This window comes from Homo sapiens, chromosome X (assembly GCF_000001405.40).
Source record: "Homo sapiens chromosome X, GRCh38.p14 Primary Assembly".
Lineage (NCBI taxonomy): Eukaryota > Metazoa > Chordata > Mammalia > Primates > Hominidae > Homo > Homo sapiens.
The window spans coordinates 74,611,506-74,626,326 of record NC_000023.11 but is presented as its reverse complement, the minus strand read 5'-3'; the positions used below and the strand labels follow the sequence as shown (position 1 = coordinate 74,626,326).

Genomic DNA, 14,821 nt, shown 5'->3' with positions numbered 1-14,821 from the left:
TTTAGAGGTCACTGGTTTCAAGAACAAAAGGCAGCAAGTATCTCAAGCATGCAAGAGTTAAAACCCATATGTATTACCTGGAGTCTCCTCCAATCTTCTCTCCTAAACTGGAAATTGGTTTATCCAATCTGTGCTAATGAACACTTTCAACTAGGCCACTAAGGAGACTTAAACCCTAAGAGGAAAAACTACAGAACTAGCTTACTTTGGAAGGGAAGGAAGAAACATAATGTAGTAACTTCTGGACAGGAATGAGTTCCAGGCCAGGAAAGTCAATCCAAAAGAGTTTTCCTTGCTTGTTATTCAGCACGTCTTCGGTAATATTCAGATGAACATTCTGTAATTTTCCTCTGTTGCCCAGGCTGGAGTGCAATGGTGCGATCTCGGCTCACTGCAAGCTCCACCTCCTGGGTTCACACCATTCTCCTGTCTCCGCTTCCCGAGTAGCTGGGACTACAGGCGCCCACCACCATGCCCGGCTAATTTTTTGTATTTTTAGTAGAGACAGGGTTTCACCATGTTAGTCAGGATGGTCTCGATCTCCTGCCGCATGATCCATCCATCTCGGCCTCACAAAGTGCTGGGATTACAGGCGAGAGCCACTGCGCCCAGGCCAAACATTCTGTATTTTAATAATTATGTATTGATTTTTTGACTATCATCCATTTATGGCAAGTGATACTGGTTTTCCATTTGTAATAGTGATATAAAATATCACTTTAATTAATATATTTACATTTTAATAGGTAAGTCCTTTTCTAAAAATCAAGAACAAGATATAACAAAAGTCTTAAACATAGCTAAGAATAATTAAAGTTGGGTAAACACTGACAATGAGATTCCTGGGGTAGATGCTTGAAAGTCTAGTTGGGGGAGGGATGCTGAAAAGACAACCAAAATAGGTTTTGTCTATCTGACAAATTTGTTTAGGGTCAGAGCTAATATTAACTATATTGGTGTCTCTTAGGTCCCCCACCTCGTTTTGTATTGGCTTATAATGCATTTGTTCAGTGGGCAGTATGTCAAGCAGTACAATTTCAATTCCACATGAATGGAAAATGACCAATCTATCTATGCTGCTGCCTAAGTCTGATGTTCTATTTATGACTCTAGGCTTCTTGCTGAATCAAGTTCTAGACCAAAGAAAAGAGTAGGAGATTTAGTTATGTGCCTTACTATGATGATATTTTTATTACTGTGTATCTTTTTGTAGAAGATTTTAAAAAAACTGAACAGTAATCCAGGACTGTGGCATTCTGAGTCAGAGAAACTCCTCACTCTTTGCTCTTTGAAAAATAGACTGAATTCTATCTAAAAAGAAGACTTTTTAGGTGTTCAAAGTCAGGCAGATTCAAGCAATAATCCTTCCTTCAAAAGTGCAAGTGTGCCTTCCAGTATGGGAGTAACTGAGAGACCATGATGGAGAAGATAGTGCATTGAGTGAAAAGGAGCATGAAGTATTTCTTTTTCTCTGTTCAGTGATCAGACCAATGCAGGTCAGCCACTATAAATTTGAAAGGGCTATAAGGGAGATAGGCACTTAACATTTGAGAAACAAATGCATCTGTTGGCCCAGTGCTCTGTGGGGAATACAAAAGCATCTAAAGTAAAAATACTCAATTCCACTGCCTATTCTGGGTCACGTGGGTGTGTCTCTTTAATAAGCCACTTGCAGTTCTTTTTCTGTCTAAGGTGTGCTATTTTCCTGAGAGGCTGGTTTGTAGAAGTAGATAAAGTACTTAAACACATGGTCTGAACTCTAAAGTCAGACAGACTCAGTTTGAATCCCTGGGTCTTCCACTTACTAGCTGTATTACATTGCTAAAGTTACTTTAAACTTTAATTTTCCCAGCTGTAATATGGGTATAATAATACTTATGCCACAGGTTTATCGCGAGCCTTAAGTAAGATACTTAGTACAGAGGCTGACACATTTTAAATGTACAATAAATACTATTTTTATTAACTACTTATTACCATTTATGTAGGTAGTAAGGTGTATTTTTAAATAGCATATTTTATCCTTGAACTAAGAGTTGTAGAAGACTGATAGCCATTTTCTCACAGCTGGATTATCTAGAGTGCTTGAAAATATGTAGTGCAGCACTGCCAGTGCTTTCCCGAAGTCAGACACTGCATCCTTTTTCTAAATATTTCCAAGTGCTCTTGTTTTGCCAAAAAGAAAAAAGTAATGAACCTAGCCAAATAAATAGGTGACTTTGGCCGATTTCTGCCATAAGGAGAGAGAGAGGAAGAGGGGCAAGAGGTGGAAGGGAGAAAGGAAGAAGGAGAGAGAACTTATATTTGAAAAGACTATGCCAGCCGGGAGTGGTGGCTCATACCTGTAATCCCAGCACTTTGGGAGGCCAAGGCGGGAGGATCACCTGAAGTCAGGAGTTTGAGACCAGACTGGCCAACACAGTGAAACCCCATCTCTACTAAAAATAGAAAAATTAGCGGGACGTGGTGGTGGGCAAGCAAGACTCTGTCTCAAAAAAAAAAAAAAAAAAAAAAAAAAAACACCAAAGCAATCAAACAAACAAAAAACCATGCCCATTCAAGATCATTAGTATAAGGTATACAGATAGAACTTCTGAGGAAAGAAATTGCCAGCAGAGCCACTTCATCTATTAAATAATCTTTAAGAAAACATTTTTTAGATTTATGATTCATTTGAGACCTGGTTAGGAGCTAGGAGACCTGGGTTGTTACATGCAGCATGCACTTAGAGTCCAAACCTATCTCCTTTATTTACTAGTTGTGTGATCGCAGATAAATTTTGTTTTTTCCTGTTGTTTCTCACTGCTTTAGGCTTCATTTTCCTCACCTATAAAATGTTCATAACATCTTACAAGGTTTATTGGTGAGAAGTAAATGAGATAGTGTGCCTATTTCTGGCACATAGTAGGGCCATGATAAATGGTAGCTATTATTGATTTAAGTATATCCATCTTCCAAACACTTCTCTGCAGATAGCCTGCATCTGAATTTTCTGGGGAGTTTATTTAAAATGAAGATGCCTGAATTCCACCCAAAAATGTCTAAATCAGAATCCTAGAATGGGGCCTGGAATCTATATTTTAATTAAGCACCAGATGAGTTCTTGGGGGAGAGGAAGTTTTTTGGAAGCTGGCACTTTTCAGTCAAAGTGCTGAGAAGGAGAAGCTCTCTACCAAGGGACTAAGAAAGCTGGAGAATGTATTAGTATTGAATGCACTGTTCCAGAGGGCTCAGTGGAAATTGGTGAGAGGGTAAGGAACAATGTAAGTGGAGATGAAAGTGGAAGCTGACCTCTATGAAAATGGAAGTTTAGGTGGGTGTGGGACCAGATGGACTTGAGTTTTTTATGGTGACTGAGGAGAATCAAGATAAGAAGCAGGGATGGAGTCACCTTGTCTTTGGCAAAGAGAAACTTGGTGTGCAGTTGTTTGGTGTCAGAGGCAGTGCATAATCAACCTAGTCTACTGTAAACCTTTTATTCTTCACAATTTAAATAATTAAATGGCAAGGAACCTATTTATTAAAATGTATTACAAATTGGAGATAAAGTGAGTATATATTATCTAAATCCAAGCCTTTTGTCTTCTCCCTATTATACTCCTCTTAATTTGTTCTAGAAAGCTTACTTTCTAGTTGCTTTGGCATGAGTTGGAAAACTACCCTGTGCTTTCTAAACCAGTGCATCTGAAACATTTATGTTTGGATATGTAAGGCACTTGATATTGCTTCACTGGGCAAGTTACTTTTATATTCCCAGAAAGCACAGAATGTAAAGACAAGCCTTTCACTACCGCTTTAAGAGCTGGAGGAAAAAAAGACATGACAGTAAATCTGCTTCGAGTTCCCCGATACTAACATAATTAACCAGGTATGGCTACATATTTTATTTCTACTATATTTGAATATTTGCGATAACATTTCCTATTTCTAGAATATACTTTAATGGGAAATAACCTCAGTTAATTAAGTTACAGGGCATTTGTGGGAGGAATAATATGCATCATAATATACCTTTTCAAAGAGATACATTGAGCTTTAGAGAAACTAGAAGGTTTTCAACAACAATGCCAATATAAACAAGACATTGTGCTGCTAGAAACAAAGGCAACTGTAATCTTTTCTACTACCATAAAATGAATATATACGATGCTGTTTTAAGGCTTTTGGGTTCAAAATACCTTCTACAGATGTTAAGGAATAAAAGGGCTTTATTCTTAAGATTTGCATGCTATATTCTTTAAACATTGATTTATTTTTAAGATCTCTGACATTCAACAAGTACAAACCTCCTAAAGTGACTTCCTAAAGAGTGATACCTGGGCCCCTGCAATGAAAGCAACACATCAACTTTAGCTTTCACATACGTTTACAAAATGACTAGATGAAATTACATCCTACTAGGATGCCACTGTTCTCCTGGTTTGTGAGCATGTTCAGGGCAGACATCACAACTCCAGAGCCTAGCACAGAGTATTGGGACAAAATAAGTATCTATTGAATGGGTGACTTAACTGAATGAATAAATTAATAAATCACTGATTATCTTTCACTTGTCTCTTTCCATCTTGCTATTCCCCTCCTCAGGGCAAACTGAAGCAAACGCTTATAATCCATTCATATCTTGAATTTTATTGTGAACTCCTAAAGGTGCAAACTTTGGCAAAATGGAAGCACTAAGAGAAAGACATTGGTTTTCTTGTTAAATTGTTTTCCCAGTGATTCTTATTCAAAAGATTTAAAAAGCTCCCTAGCCATTAGAGGCAATACTTAAACTAAATAAATATTTTGCGGGTGTCTTTAAAAAAAGTCGAGTTGGCCGGGCGCAGTGGCTCATGCCTGTAATCCCAGAACTTTGGGAGGCCGAGGCAGGTGGATCATCTGAGGTCAGGAGTTCGAGACCAGCCTGGCCAACATGGCGAAACCCCGTCTCTACTCAAAATACAAAAATTAGCCGGGCGTGGTGGCACGCACCTGTAATGCCAGCTACTCAGGAAGCTAAAGCAGGAGAATGGCTTGAACCTGGCTTGAACCTGGAGGTTGTGGTGAGCCGAGATGGTGCCAATGCACTCCAGCCTGGGTGATAGAGCAAGACTCCATCTAAAAAAAAAAAAAAAAAAAAAAAAAAAAAGTCGAGTTTCTTAAAGAAGTATTGTAATCTTAAAACAGTGACCGTATTGACTATAAAGTAAAACAGTTTCAAACACATAGCAGCCAAGAAGATCTTTTTTTATTTTAAAAAACAATCGAATCAGATCATATGGGTTTTCTTTTAAAAACCCTTTAACAACTTCTCATTGCTCTTAGGATAAGATCCAAAATGTCTAATATGAACTACAAGCTAATTCGTTGATTAGTTGAAGAAATATTGATTGAGTGCCTTTTAGGTATTTTAGGCTGGGAAAATACTGCTGAGAGGGGGTGGGGCAAAGCCTCAGTTCTCACGGAGCTTACGCTGGCCAGAAGTGGGGGCGGGCCAGCAGAAACACTGATAGACTATAAACATATAAATACAATCAACAAACAAAATGAACAAATAACAAGACAAATTCCTTTCTGATGAGTGCTATAGAGAAAATAAAATAGAATATTTGCTAGAGAAACTAAGCTATTCTTTCAGTTCCCCAGTTTCCCTTCTCTCATCCCATGGAATTTGTACAAGTTATTCCCTCTCCCAGGGTTCATCTCTCATCTTCCTCTCATCCGGAACCATCATTCCGTCTTCAGATCTCAGCTAAAAAAATGGCAGCTTCTTCTGGTTAAATGTTCCTTTTACATACTTGCCATTGTACCCTTATGTCTCCTTTGTAATGTTCATTACATTTAAAAGTATCTTTTCAATGTCTTTCTTGCCATAGGGAAGGGTCTTCTAGTGTATGGTGTACTGATGGTGGTATGTCCCCAGCGACCAGAAGGTAGCAGATTATCAATACATTTTGTTAAAATGAACAGAAGGAAGATTGGGAAGATCTTTTCTTTTTTTCCTGTTAAGGGACACTTGACCAAGAATGGGTAAAAATCATTTGAAGGTCACACATACATAAAAAGAATATGGGGTTAGGTGCTGTGGCTCACACCTGTAATCCCAACAATTTGGGAGGTCGAGGCGGGCCGATCACCTGAGGTCAGGAATTGGAGACCAGCCTGGCCAACATGGCGAAACCCCGCATCTACTAAAAACACAAAAATTATCCAGGAGTGGTGGGTGCCTGTAATCCCAGCTACTCAGGAGGCTGAGGCAGGAGAATCGCTTGAACCTGGGAAGCACAGTTGCAGTTAGCTCAGATTGCACCATTGCACCTCAGCCTGGGCGACAGAGCGAGACTCCGTCTCAAAACAAACAAACAAACCAACCAAACAACATGGGAGGGAAATGCAATTAGGCTAAATAGAAACCAAACAAGTGTTTAGTAGTTGCTTTGGTAGGTTCTAGAGTGGCACTGAATGCTACCATGAGATAAATTGTTTTGAGAAGTACTTTCCTTGATATTGTAAGTAAAGTAGCTCCATGCTTATAAAAGAACACGAATGAATATGTGGAAAAGGAAAAGAAAGAAAGTATATTTGAAGCATGGAAAGAATAAGTGGTAAGGGAGATATGTAGTCTTCAAATTCAGGCAGATTTTTCTTTCAAAATAAAAAAGGTTCTACCCCTTTCCAATACCAAGTAATAATGCACATTGTAAAATGTTGAAGACAATACTGAAAGGGGTAAAGAACATAAAAATGGTCCCTGAGCGGTGGCTTATGCCTGTAATCCCAGCACTTTGGGAGGCCGAAGCAGGTGGATCACCTGAGGTCAGGAGTTCAAGACCAGCCTGGCCAACATGGTGAAACCCCCATCTCTACTAAAAATACAAAAATTAGTCGGGCATGGTGGCGGGCGCCTGTAATCCCAGCTACTCAGGAGGCTGAGGCATGAGAATCGCTTGAACCCGGGAGGCAGAGGTTGCAGTGAGTCGAGATCATGCCACTGCCCTCCAGCCTGGGTGACAGAGTGAGACTCCATCTCAAAAAAAAAAAAAAAAAGAACATAAAAGTGACTAAAAATGTATGCTCATCTAGGCTTTTTTCTAGGCATATTTATACATATCTTTTAAATAAAAATGGAGTCACACAAGCTGTATTGTAAATCGCTTTTTTCATTAAAAACGTAACCTGAGGCCGGACACGGTGGCTCATGCCTGGAATCCCAGCACTTTGGGAGGCAGAGGTGGGTGGATCACTCGAGGTCAAAAGCTGGAGACCAGCCAGGCCAACATGGTGAAACCTCGTCTCTACTCAAAATACAAAAATTAGCTGGGCGTGGTGGCACGAGCCTGTAGTCCCAGCTACTCAGGAGGCTGAGGCAGGAGAATCGCTTGAAACCAGGAGGTGGAGGTTGCAGTTAGCCGAGATTGTGCCACTGCACTCCAGCCTGGGTGACAGAGTGAGACTCCGTCTCAAAAAAAAAAAAAAAAAAAGTAACCTGAACGTATTTCCAGCTCTAGGTACTTATTTTTAATGCTACATGGTAGTCTATTATGTGGTTATACTATAACTAATTGTTGTTGGATGGTTATTTTTTCTGATTTGTCAATATTTCGATGTTATAAACCACACTGTAATTAGCATCTTTGCACATTCATTACATACATATTTGCAAATTTGTCCACTTCTTTCCTTAAAATAAATTTCTGTACCTGGACATGTTTGTCAAATACTATGAATATGAGTCTTTTGAAACACATTACCAAATTGCCTTAAGAAAACTGGGAGTGGTGGCTCATGCCTGTAATCCCAGCACTTTGGGAGGCTGAGGTGGGCGGATCACAAGGTCAAGAGATCGAGACCATCCTATCCAACATGGCGAAAATCCGTCTCTAATAAAACTACAAAAATTAGCTGGGTGTGGTGGCGCACGCCTGTAATCCCAGCTACTCGGGGGGCTGAGGCAGGAGAATTGCTTGCACCCAGGAGGTGGAGGTTGCGGTGAGCCGACATTGCGCCACTGCACTCCAGCCTGGTGACAGAGTGAGACTCTGTCTCAAAAAAAAAAAAAAAAAGAAAACTGATATCAATTTGTCCCACTGGCAATACAAATGTGCCCATTTCATAGGATCTTCATCAACAATTAATATTATCGATTTTTTATCCTTGACATTCTAACAGGCAAAAAAAGGAACTTTTTAAAAAATTTTTTAGTTCATAAAATTTTTCTGTTTTGTTTTTTTGAGACAGAGTTTCACTCTTGTTGCCCAGGCTGGAGTGCAATGTCGCAATCTCGGCTCACTGCAACCTCTGCCTCCCGGTTCAAGCGATTCTCCTGCCTCAGCCTCCCGAGTAGCTGGGATTATAGGTGCCCACCACCACGCCCAACTAATTTTTTTTCTGAAGTTTTAGTAGATACGGGGTTTCACCATGTTGGCCAGGCTGGTCTCAAACTCCTGACCTCAGGCAATCCACCCGCCTCAGCCTCCCAAAGTGCTGGGATTACAGGCGTGAGCCACCGAACCCAGCTATTGTTTTTTAATTATTATGGATACATAATAGTTGTACCTCATTGTTTTTATTTTTGATTAATTACTAGTGAGGCTGAATATATTTTCAAGTACAAGGTTATTTACTAACAAGAAAAAAAGAATATATTGTCATATGCTTATCAGCCACGTGTTTTATCCTTTTATGAATTATCCATTCATGTTCCTTGCACATTTTGAAATGGAGGTATTTATCTCTTTTTTTTTTTTTTTTTTTTTTGAGATGCAGTCTTGCTGTTACCCAGGCTGGAGTGCAGTGGCATGATCTCGGCTCACTCCAACCTCTGCCTCCCGGGTTCAATCAATTCCTTTTCCTCAGCCTCCCAAGTAGCTGGGACTACAGGAGTGAGTACGCCACCACGCCCAGCTAATTTTTGTATTTTTTTTAGTAGAGACGGGGTTTCACCATATTGGCCAGGCTGGTCTTGATCTCCTGACCTTGTGATCCGCCTGCCTTGGCCTCCCAAAGTGCTGGGATTACAGGTGTGAGCCCCTGCGCCCGGCCGGTATTTATCTTTTTAAAAATCAATGTTTAACAACTCTTTATAGGCTGATATTAGCCATATGTGTTTATCACATATGTAACATTTTTGCTAGTGTTTCGTCTTTTTATTAAGTAAAGATATTACCCCTTGGCTCTAATATGTCATTATGAAATGATTTTTTTCAATTTATCATTTGTCTTTTAACTTTACCAACCTTGTATTTTGACATTTAGAAGGTTTACTTTTATTTATGAAGTTGTACTTATTAGTCTTTCCCATTATGGATTTTGTGTTGTATTTCAAAAGTGCTTCTGCATCCCCAAGGCTATAGAAATATTAACCTAGGCCTGGACAGTGGCTCACGCCTGTAATCCCAACACTTTGGGAGGCCCAGGCAGGCGGATCATGAAGTCAGGAGTTGGAGACCAGGCTGCCCAACATGGTGAAACCTCATCTCTACTAAAAATACAAAAATTAGCCAGGCGTGGTGGTGCATGCCTGCAATCCCAGCTACTGGGGAGGCTGAGGTAGGAGAATCGCTTGAACCCAGGAGACGGAGGTTGCAGTGAGCTGAGATCATGCCACTGGACTCCAGCCTGGGCAACAAAGCAAGACTCCATCAAAAAAAAAAAAGAAAGAAAGAAGGAAGGAAGGAAGGAAGGAAGGAAGGAAGGAAGGAAGGAAGGAAGGAAGAAAGGACAGAAATAGTAACCTGTATTTTCTTCCACTTCTTTTATGATTTTATATTTTAGATTAAGCCACATAAGCCTCAAGAATACGTTAAGGAGTGGCTAATGTTATTGCCATAATCAGAATATCAGGCTTAATGGCAATTGCAGGCTACTGAAGAATTCCTTTTACACGTTCTAGGTAATCGTTCTAGTACATGATTATGTAAAATAAGACAAAAACCTGAGTAGAGACACAGCGCCTAAATCATGTATCCCTCTGCCAAAAATGACAATATCAATGAGTCTTCTAGGGAGTTGGGCAGGTAAGTATGAGGGATATTGTTTTAACTGCTTGGAGTGAAATACTTATATTCCAGGCTGATATAACATCCATCATGGTGAGGGGGTAATTCTCCCAAAGTATTTTGAGGGCTTACTATGTGGTCGCTGGGGACACAACAGTGAACAAAACAGAGAGGTTTACTGCTCAGAAAGGGTGAAGTAAACAAACAAATAAATAACTTACTTTCAGATTAAGTGTTTTACAAGAAAAGTAAGCAGGTAAGGAGATGGGAGAAGTCGTTATTACTTTTTTCTTTTTTTTTTTTTCCTCAGACCTTTTTCCGCCTTCAGGAAGAAGTTATTTTAGGTAGGGTGGTCAGGGAAGGCTTCTCTAGGAAGTTAATAATTGCGAGGCTTGGATGATGAAAGCAAAGATATGAAAGTAAAATATTCCAGCAAAGGTAAAGTAGTTGAAGTAGGAAGAAGTTAGCTTTGTTGGAAAAACCGTAACAAAGCCAGCATAGCTGGCATGCTATTGGAAAACAGAAAAATTGGGAAAAGGAAAAGAATCTAAAAACTTGGGTAAGGTTTTCCTTTAACTGTGACAATGGGAGTGGCATGCTGTGTGGCGAGTTCCCTCAATTCTTTCAGGCATTACTACCTAAGAAAGGCCTTCTTTAACTGCCCTTTTACAAATCCCAACGTTATCAGATTTTCCCACCCTTTTACAATCACCGCCCTTTTTCGAATACTTTAGAGTTAATGCCTCAAAGTTATCAGTCTTTTAAACATCACGAATCCGTTTGTCCCTACAAGGAACTCTTCTGTCCCCCTTCCTTGATTTTTCTCCTTGGCATTTATCACTAACATGATATGTATTTATGTTTGATTTTTTCTAAATTATTGTCCCTGGCCCCTATAAAGACTCAAGAGAACTGGGATTTTGATCTGTTTTCTTTTTTTTTTTTTTTTTTTTTTTGAGACACAGCCTTGCTCTGTCACCCAGGCTAGAGTGCAGTGGCGAGATCCCGGCTCACTGCAATCTTCGCCTCCTGGGTTCAGCTATTCTCCTGCCTCAGCCTCCCGATTAGCAGAGATTACAGGCGCCCGCCACCACGCCCGGCTAATTTTCGTATTTTTAGTAGAGACTGGGTTTCACCATGTTGGCCAGGCTGGTCTCGAACTCCTGACCTCAGGTGATCCGCCCGCTTCGGCTTCCCAAAGTGCTGGGATTACAGGCGTGAGCCACCGAACGTGGCCTGTTTTCTTTCTTAATTTTGGTCTATTTTAATTTCCTAAGCAGCTACAATGGTGCTTGACATGCAGTTGGCACTGTGTAAATACATGTTGAATAAAACGCAGGCTACTTTTTGAACTGGTCTGCACGGATTGTGTGAACTGATGTGATGTCAGGGTAGACTAATATCACATTTCTCTCTCTCTGAAAATGTCTTCAAGCAGTCAGACCGTGACGTCCTTCAGTTTTCAAAATGGGAAAGCGAAGGTTCCCACAATTCTCAGAACGCAAATTTCTCGCCACAATTCAAAATGGCGGAGGAGGGTGGGGCCTGTCACATGGTGGGCGTCATAACAGCTTTCCTTTTCCAAACCGCCGCCCGCCTTGCCGCGTCGTCTGCCGTCCCCCTCCTCCTCCCGCGGAGCCTTTTCGAGGAATCGACTGGGATTGGCTAATAGGCTGGGAGTGGGGCTGCGGTGCCGGGACGCGGCATCATCACTTCCTGTTGTGGGCAGTCGTTTCCTGTCGCTGCTTGGTAACAATGGGGAAGATAATGGCTGCCTGAGCAACGTCTCCGAGCAGGCGCTGGGCTAGAGGCGGGTCTCAACCAGCTACTCATTGGAGGCGGGCTTGAGAGCGGCGGCCAGGGAGGTGCGGAGCAGCCTCGGCGGCGGCGGCCGAACCAACCGAGTCGGATCCTGACCCTAAAACCTAGTAAGTGAAGACTTGGGAATCCTGTGAGAAATGATGTAGAGCGAGAGGAAGACAGCGGAGCCGCGGCTGCCGCGTTCTCTCAAAATGGCCCGAGTGACGCGTCGTGGCAGAGGCTCAGCGCCGCCTCCGGACCCCAGGCCCGTTGCTGCGGGGGGCTCCGTGGCGTAGTCGCCGCTGCCATTTTAGTTGAGTGGTATAGTCGACAGGCTCTTTGAAGGGGAAGGAGGTGGGTAGTACTTCCTCTCGGTGGCCGCGCGAGCTGCAGCCCAGGCCCTCCGGAGCCTTAGGAAATCGGGGGAGGCAGTTTTTGAGTTTTGGCCTCAGGCGTCAGAATCTTAGAACGTCTCAGGCTTTTTCTTCTCTGTTCTCTGGAGGCTTCCCTGACCTCCCCGCGTTTTCCATGGCGGGCTTGGGTTTGGGAAAAGGGAAGTAAAAAATCAGGCTGCCCCAAGTGAGATGCTGGCAACTCTTGGGCCTTTAGATTTCCAAAACCTCATTTTGAGCCCTTCTGCAGGGTATTACCAATTAGGCGCCCCCTGGGGCCGCGATGACATCTTCCCTGAGGATCTGAGGCAAATGTGGTTTACTCCCTTGCTCGAATAACCCTGGCATATCCTTTGCCAGGTATCACTGGAAGGATCCCCCCGCAAAAGAGAGGGAAAAGCCGTTAGGTGTTTGTTGTGTTCTCCTGGATAAGGGATGGAATTGGGCCAAATTTTCAAGTTAATTTGTGTTTAATCCACCAACAACTCAATCCCTCCCCCATTAAAAAAAAAAAAAAAAGCCTAGGGGGGTCTCTGCTTCTGCAGACGGTACCTGCCACGCATGCCATAGCTTAGTAACTAGTATTAACCGGTTGGGCTTCTGCTTCCTGAATACTCGGTCCCTTTTTCCCTTATGCTGATTAATTTCAAGATGGAGGAGACAGCCACGTTCCTTCCCTAGACAGTTTCACCATACTTATTCCACAGGTTAGTCTGGGAATCTGAGGCCTAGCAGTCTTGTTATTGAGGTCATTTTTTTTTTCATTTTGGGGCAAGAGGAAGCAGTTGTATCAGATTGTCATCTTCCATTTGCAAGACCCCACAATGATTTTTTGCCAGAAGTAAGGAGCCCGCATTTCCTGAATCAGAATTAACCGCAGTGTTTTGGACTGATTGAAAGGGGGAAGAAATAATAAACCTACTGCTACTAATCATTTCTTTCATTCTTCGTGATTATAGACAGAGTAACTACTTATCACCCCATTAAGTACATTGTATCTTCCCTGGAGGACTGGCACAATTATAACCCCTCCCCCCCCATGACTTTTCTAAACTGTAGAAATATAGCTTAGGTAGCTAGAAAGACCAATCCACTTTTTAAAACTTGATTTTAGGACACACTCCACTTACTGAAAAATGTTACAAAGATTTTTTTAGTCCATGATGTTCTGATGAATTTTAATACTTTAGTTCCTACCTTAGGCTAGTGTAATGTGCCAGATAAGTCCTTGAAAGTGACTATCAGAATCTGAAAATAATTACTGGTCTGATAAGGAAAGGCTTATTTTAAGCAAGCTTATAATAAAACGTAAATTGTCTCTCAGTCTTAGAAGACATCTTTTATCTAACTCCTGGTCCCCTCTGACCTTCTTGCTCTCCCCAAATGCCCTAATACTAATATTGAATTAGGTTGGGTTATGGTGTGTCTGTATTTTTTTTTTTAGGTTGTGTCTAATTCAAAGAAAATGTGTATCTTTTTAAAGAGGAAGAATAATGGATTCTTTTTTTTTCTAGAGCAGAGTGAAGAAAACTAAAATCCAGTTTATTGTATTTCAATACTATGTCATAACAGTCAGGTAATTTATTTTTTGTTGCGTCTCCTGATGATTTATGTGTAGAATGCATGTTTACAAATATTTATTGTTCTATTTTGCAGGCCCTGTAATTGGATGGGCTCATTGATAGATGTTAGATGGTGTTGGGTATTCTTCATGATAAGAATGGGTACTTTTCACTGGGAATTAAAAGGGTAATGTTTCTGGATACCTGGAACTCACCAGTGCTTTATCTGTGAATTTGACTCTTTAAAATAATGTCTGAAGTTTACCAATACCTGTATAGAACAACAACAACAAAAAATTTGTTGTCTTATATCATTGTTGGAATGGCATGAGTATAAGTAAAATAACATTTAAATGTTCATTGGATAACTAAATGAAATATCAGAATAGCTTACGAGAGTATAATTTTACGTTACTTTGTGTGTGGTGGTTGATTTTTTTCCTTTAAGATTCAAAAATTCATAATTGATACATGATACTTTTAATTGATATTGACTCCTTTCATTATTATTATCATCATCATTAGGGTAACCACATAATTTATTGCCTAACCAAGACACTTTTAAGAACAAAAGGAACATTAATAATTCCTGGACAGCAGGTGCAAACCTTGATTGTCCCCGACAAACTGGGATGGATACTTAGCCTAAATTCATAACCAACTTCTGCTGAAGGCCTGTGGTGCTAGGCCATGTGCTTTATATGCATTATTTTATAATTCTCACAACAGAGCCTCATGAGAATGTTAACTTTTATAGAGGAAACCAAAAACCCAAAGAGGTTAAGTATAATTTGTCCTCAGTTAAATAGCTTTAAGTGGTGGAGCCCTCATTTTATCCCAGGCCTGTCTGACGTTATACTTCTGGGTTTGATTGCTGTCTAATTAGATAGGAAATGCAATGAAAATGAAAGGTTGTAGTAAAAAGTCTGTAGGTTATGTTGCATCAGAAACTTTTGTTAATACTTAAAGGTTATCCAGCAATCCCCCCTTTTCGTCTGTTACGTTCCTGTTTCAGCTATTATGCATGTTTACACATATTTATTGTTCTATTTCACAGGCCCTGTAATTGGATGGGCTCATTGATAGATGT

The 14,821-nt window shown here is 40.8% G+C and overlaps 1 protein-coding gene across 2 annotated transcripts in view, besides 1 other annotated feature; it reads left to right on the top strand.

Annotated features, from left to right (window-relative positions):
• Positions 11,703-14,821, top strand: part of RLIM (ring finger protein, LIM domain interacting) — a 31,649-nt gene continuing 28,530 nt past the window's right edge. Inside the window, exons 1-2 of one of the 2 annotated variants that reach the window (NM_183353.3) lie at positions 11,703-11,905; positions 13,684-13,745. The gene's annotated coding sequence lies outside the window, so the exon portion shown is untranslated. The remainder of the gene's footprint in view (positions 11,906-13,683; positions 13,746-14,821) is intronic. The other variant, NM_016120.4, reaches the window with a different exon arrangement.
• Positions 11,779-12,098: an enhancer, noted in NCBI's record as "active region_29767". NCBI's record gives its function as "activates an Ori minimal core promoter by ATAC-STARR-seq in GM12878 lymphoblastoid cells {active_cell/tissue: GM12878}" and the evidence as "EXISTENCE:reporter gene assay evidence [ECO:0000049][PMID:35858748]".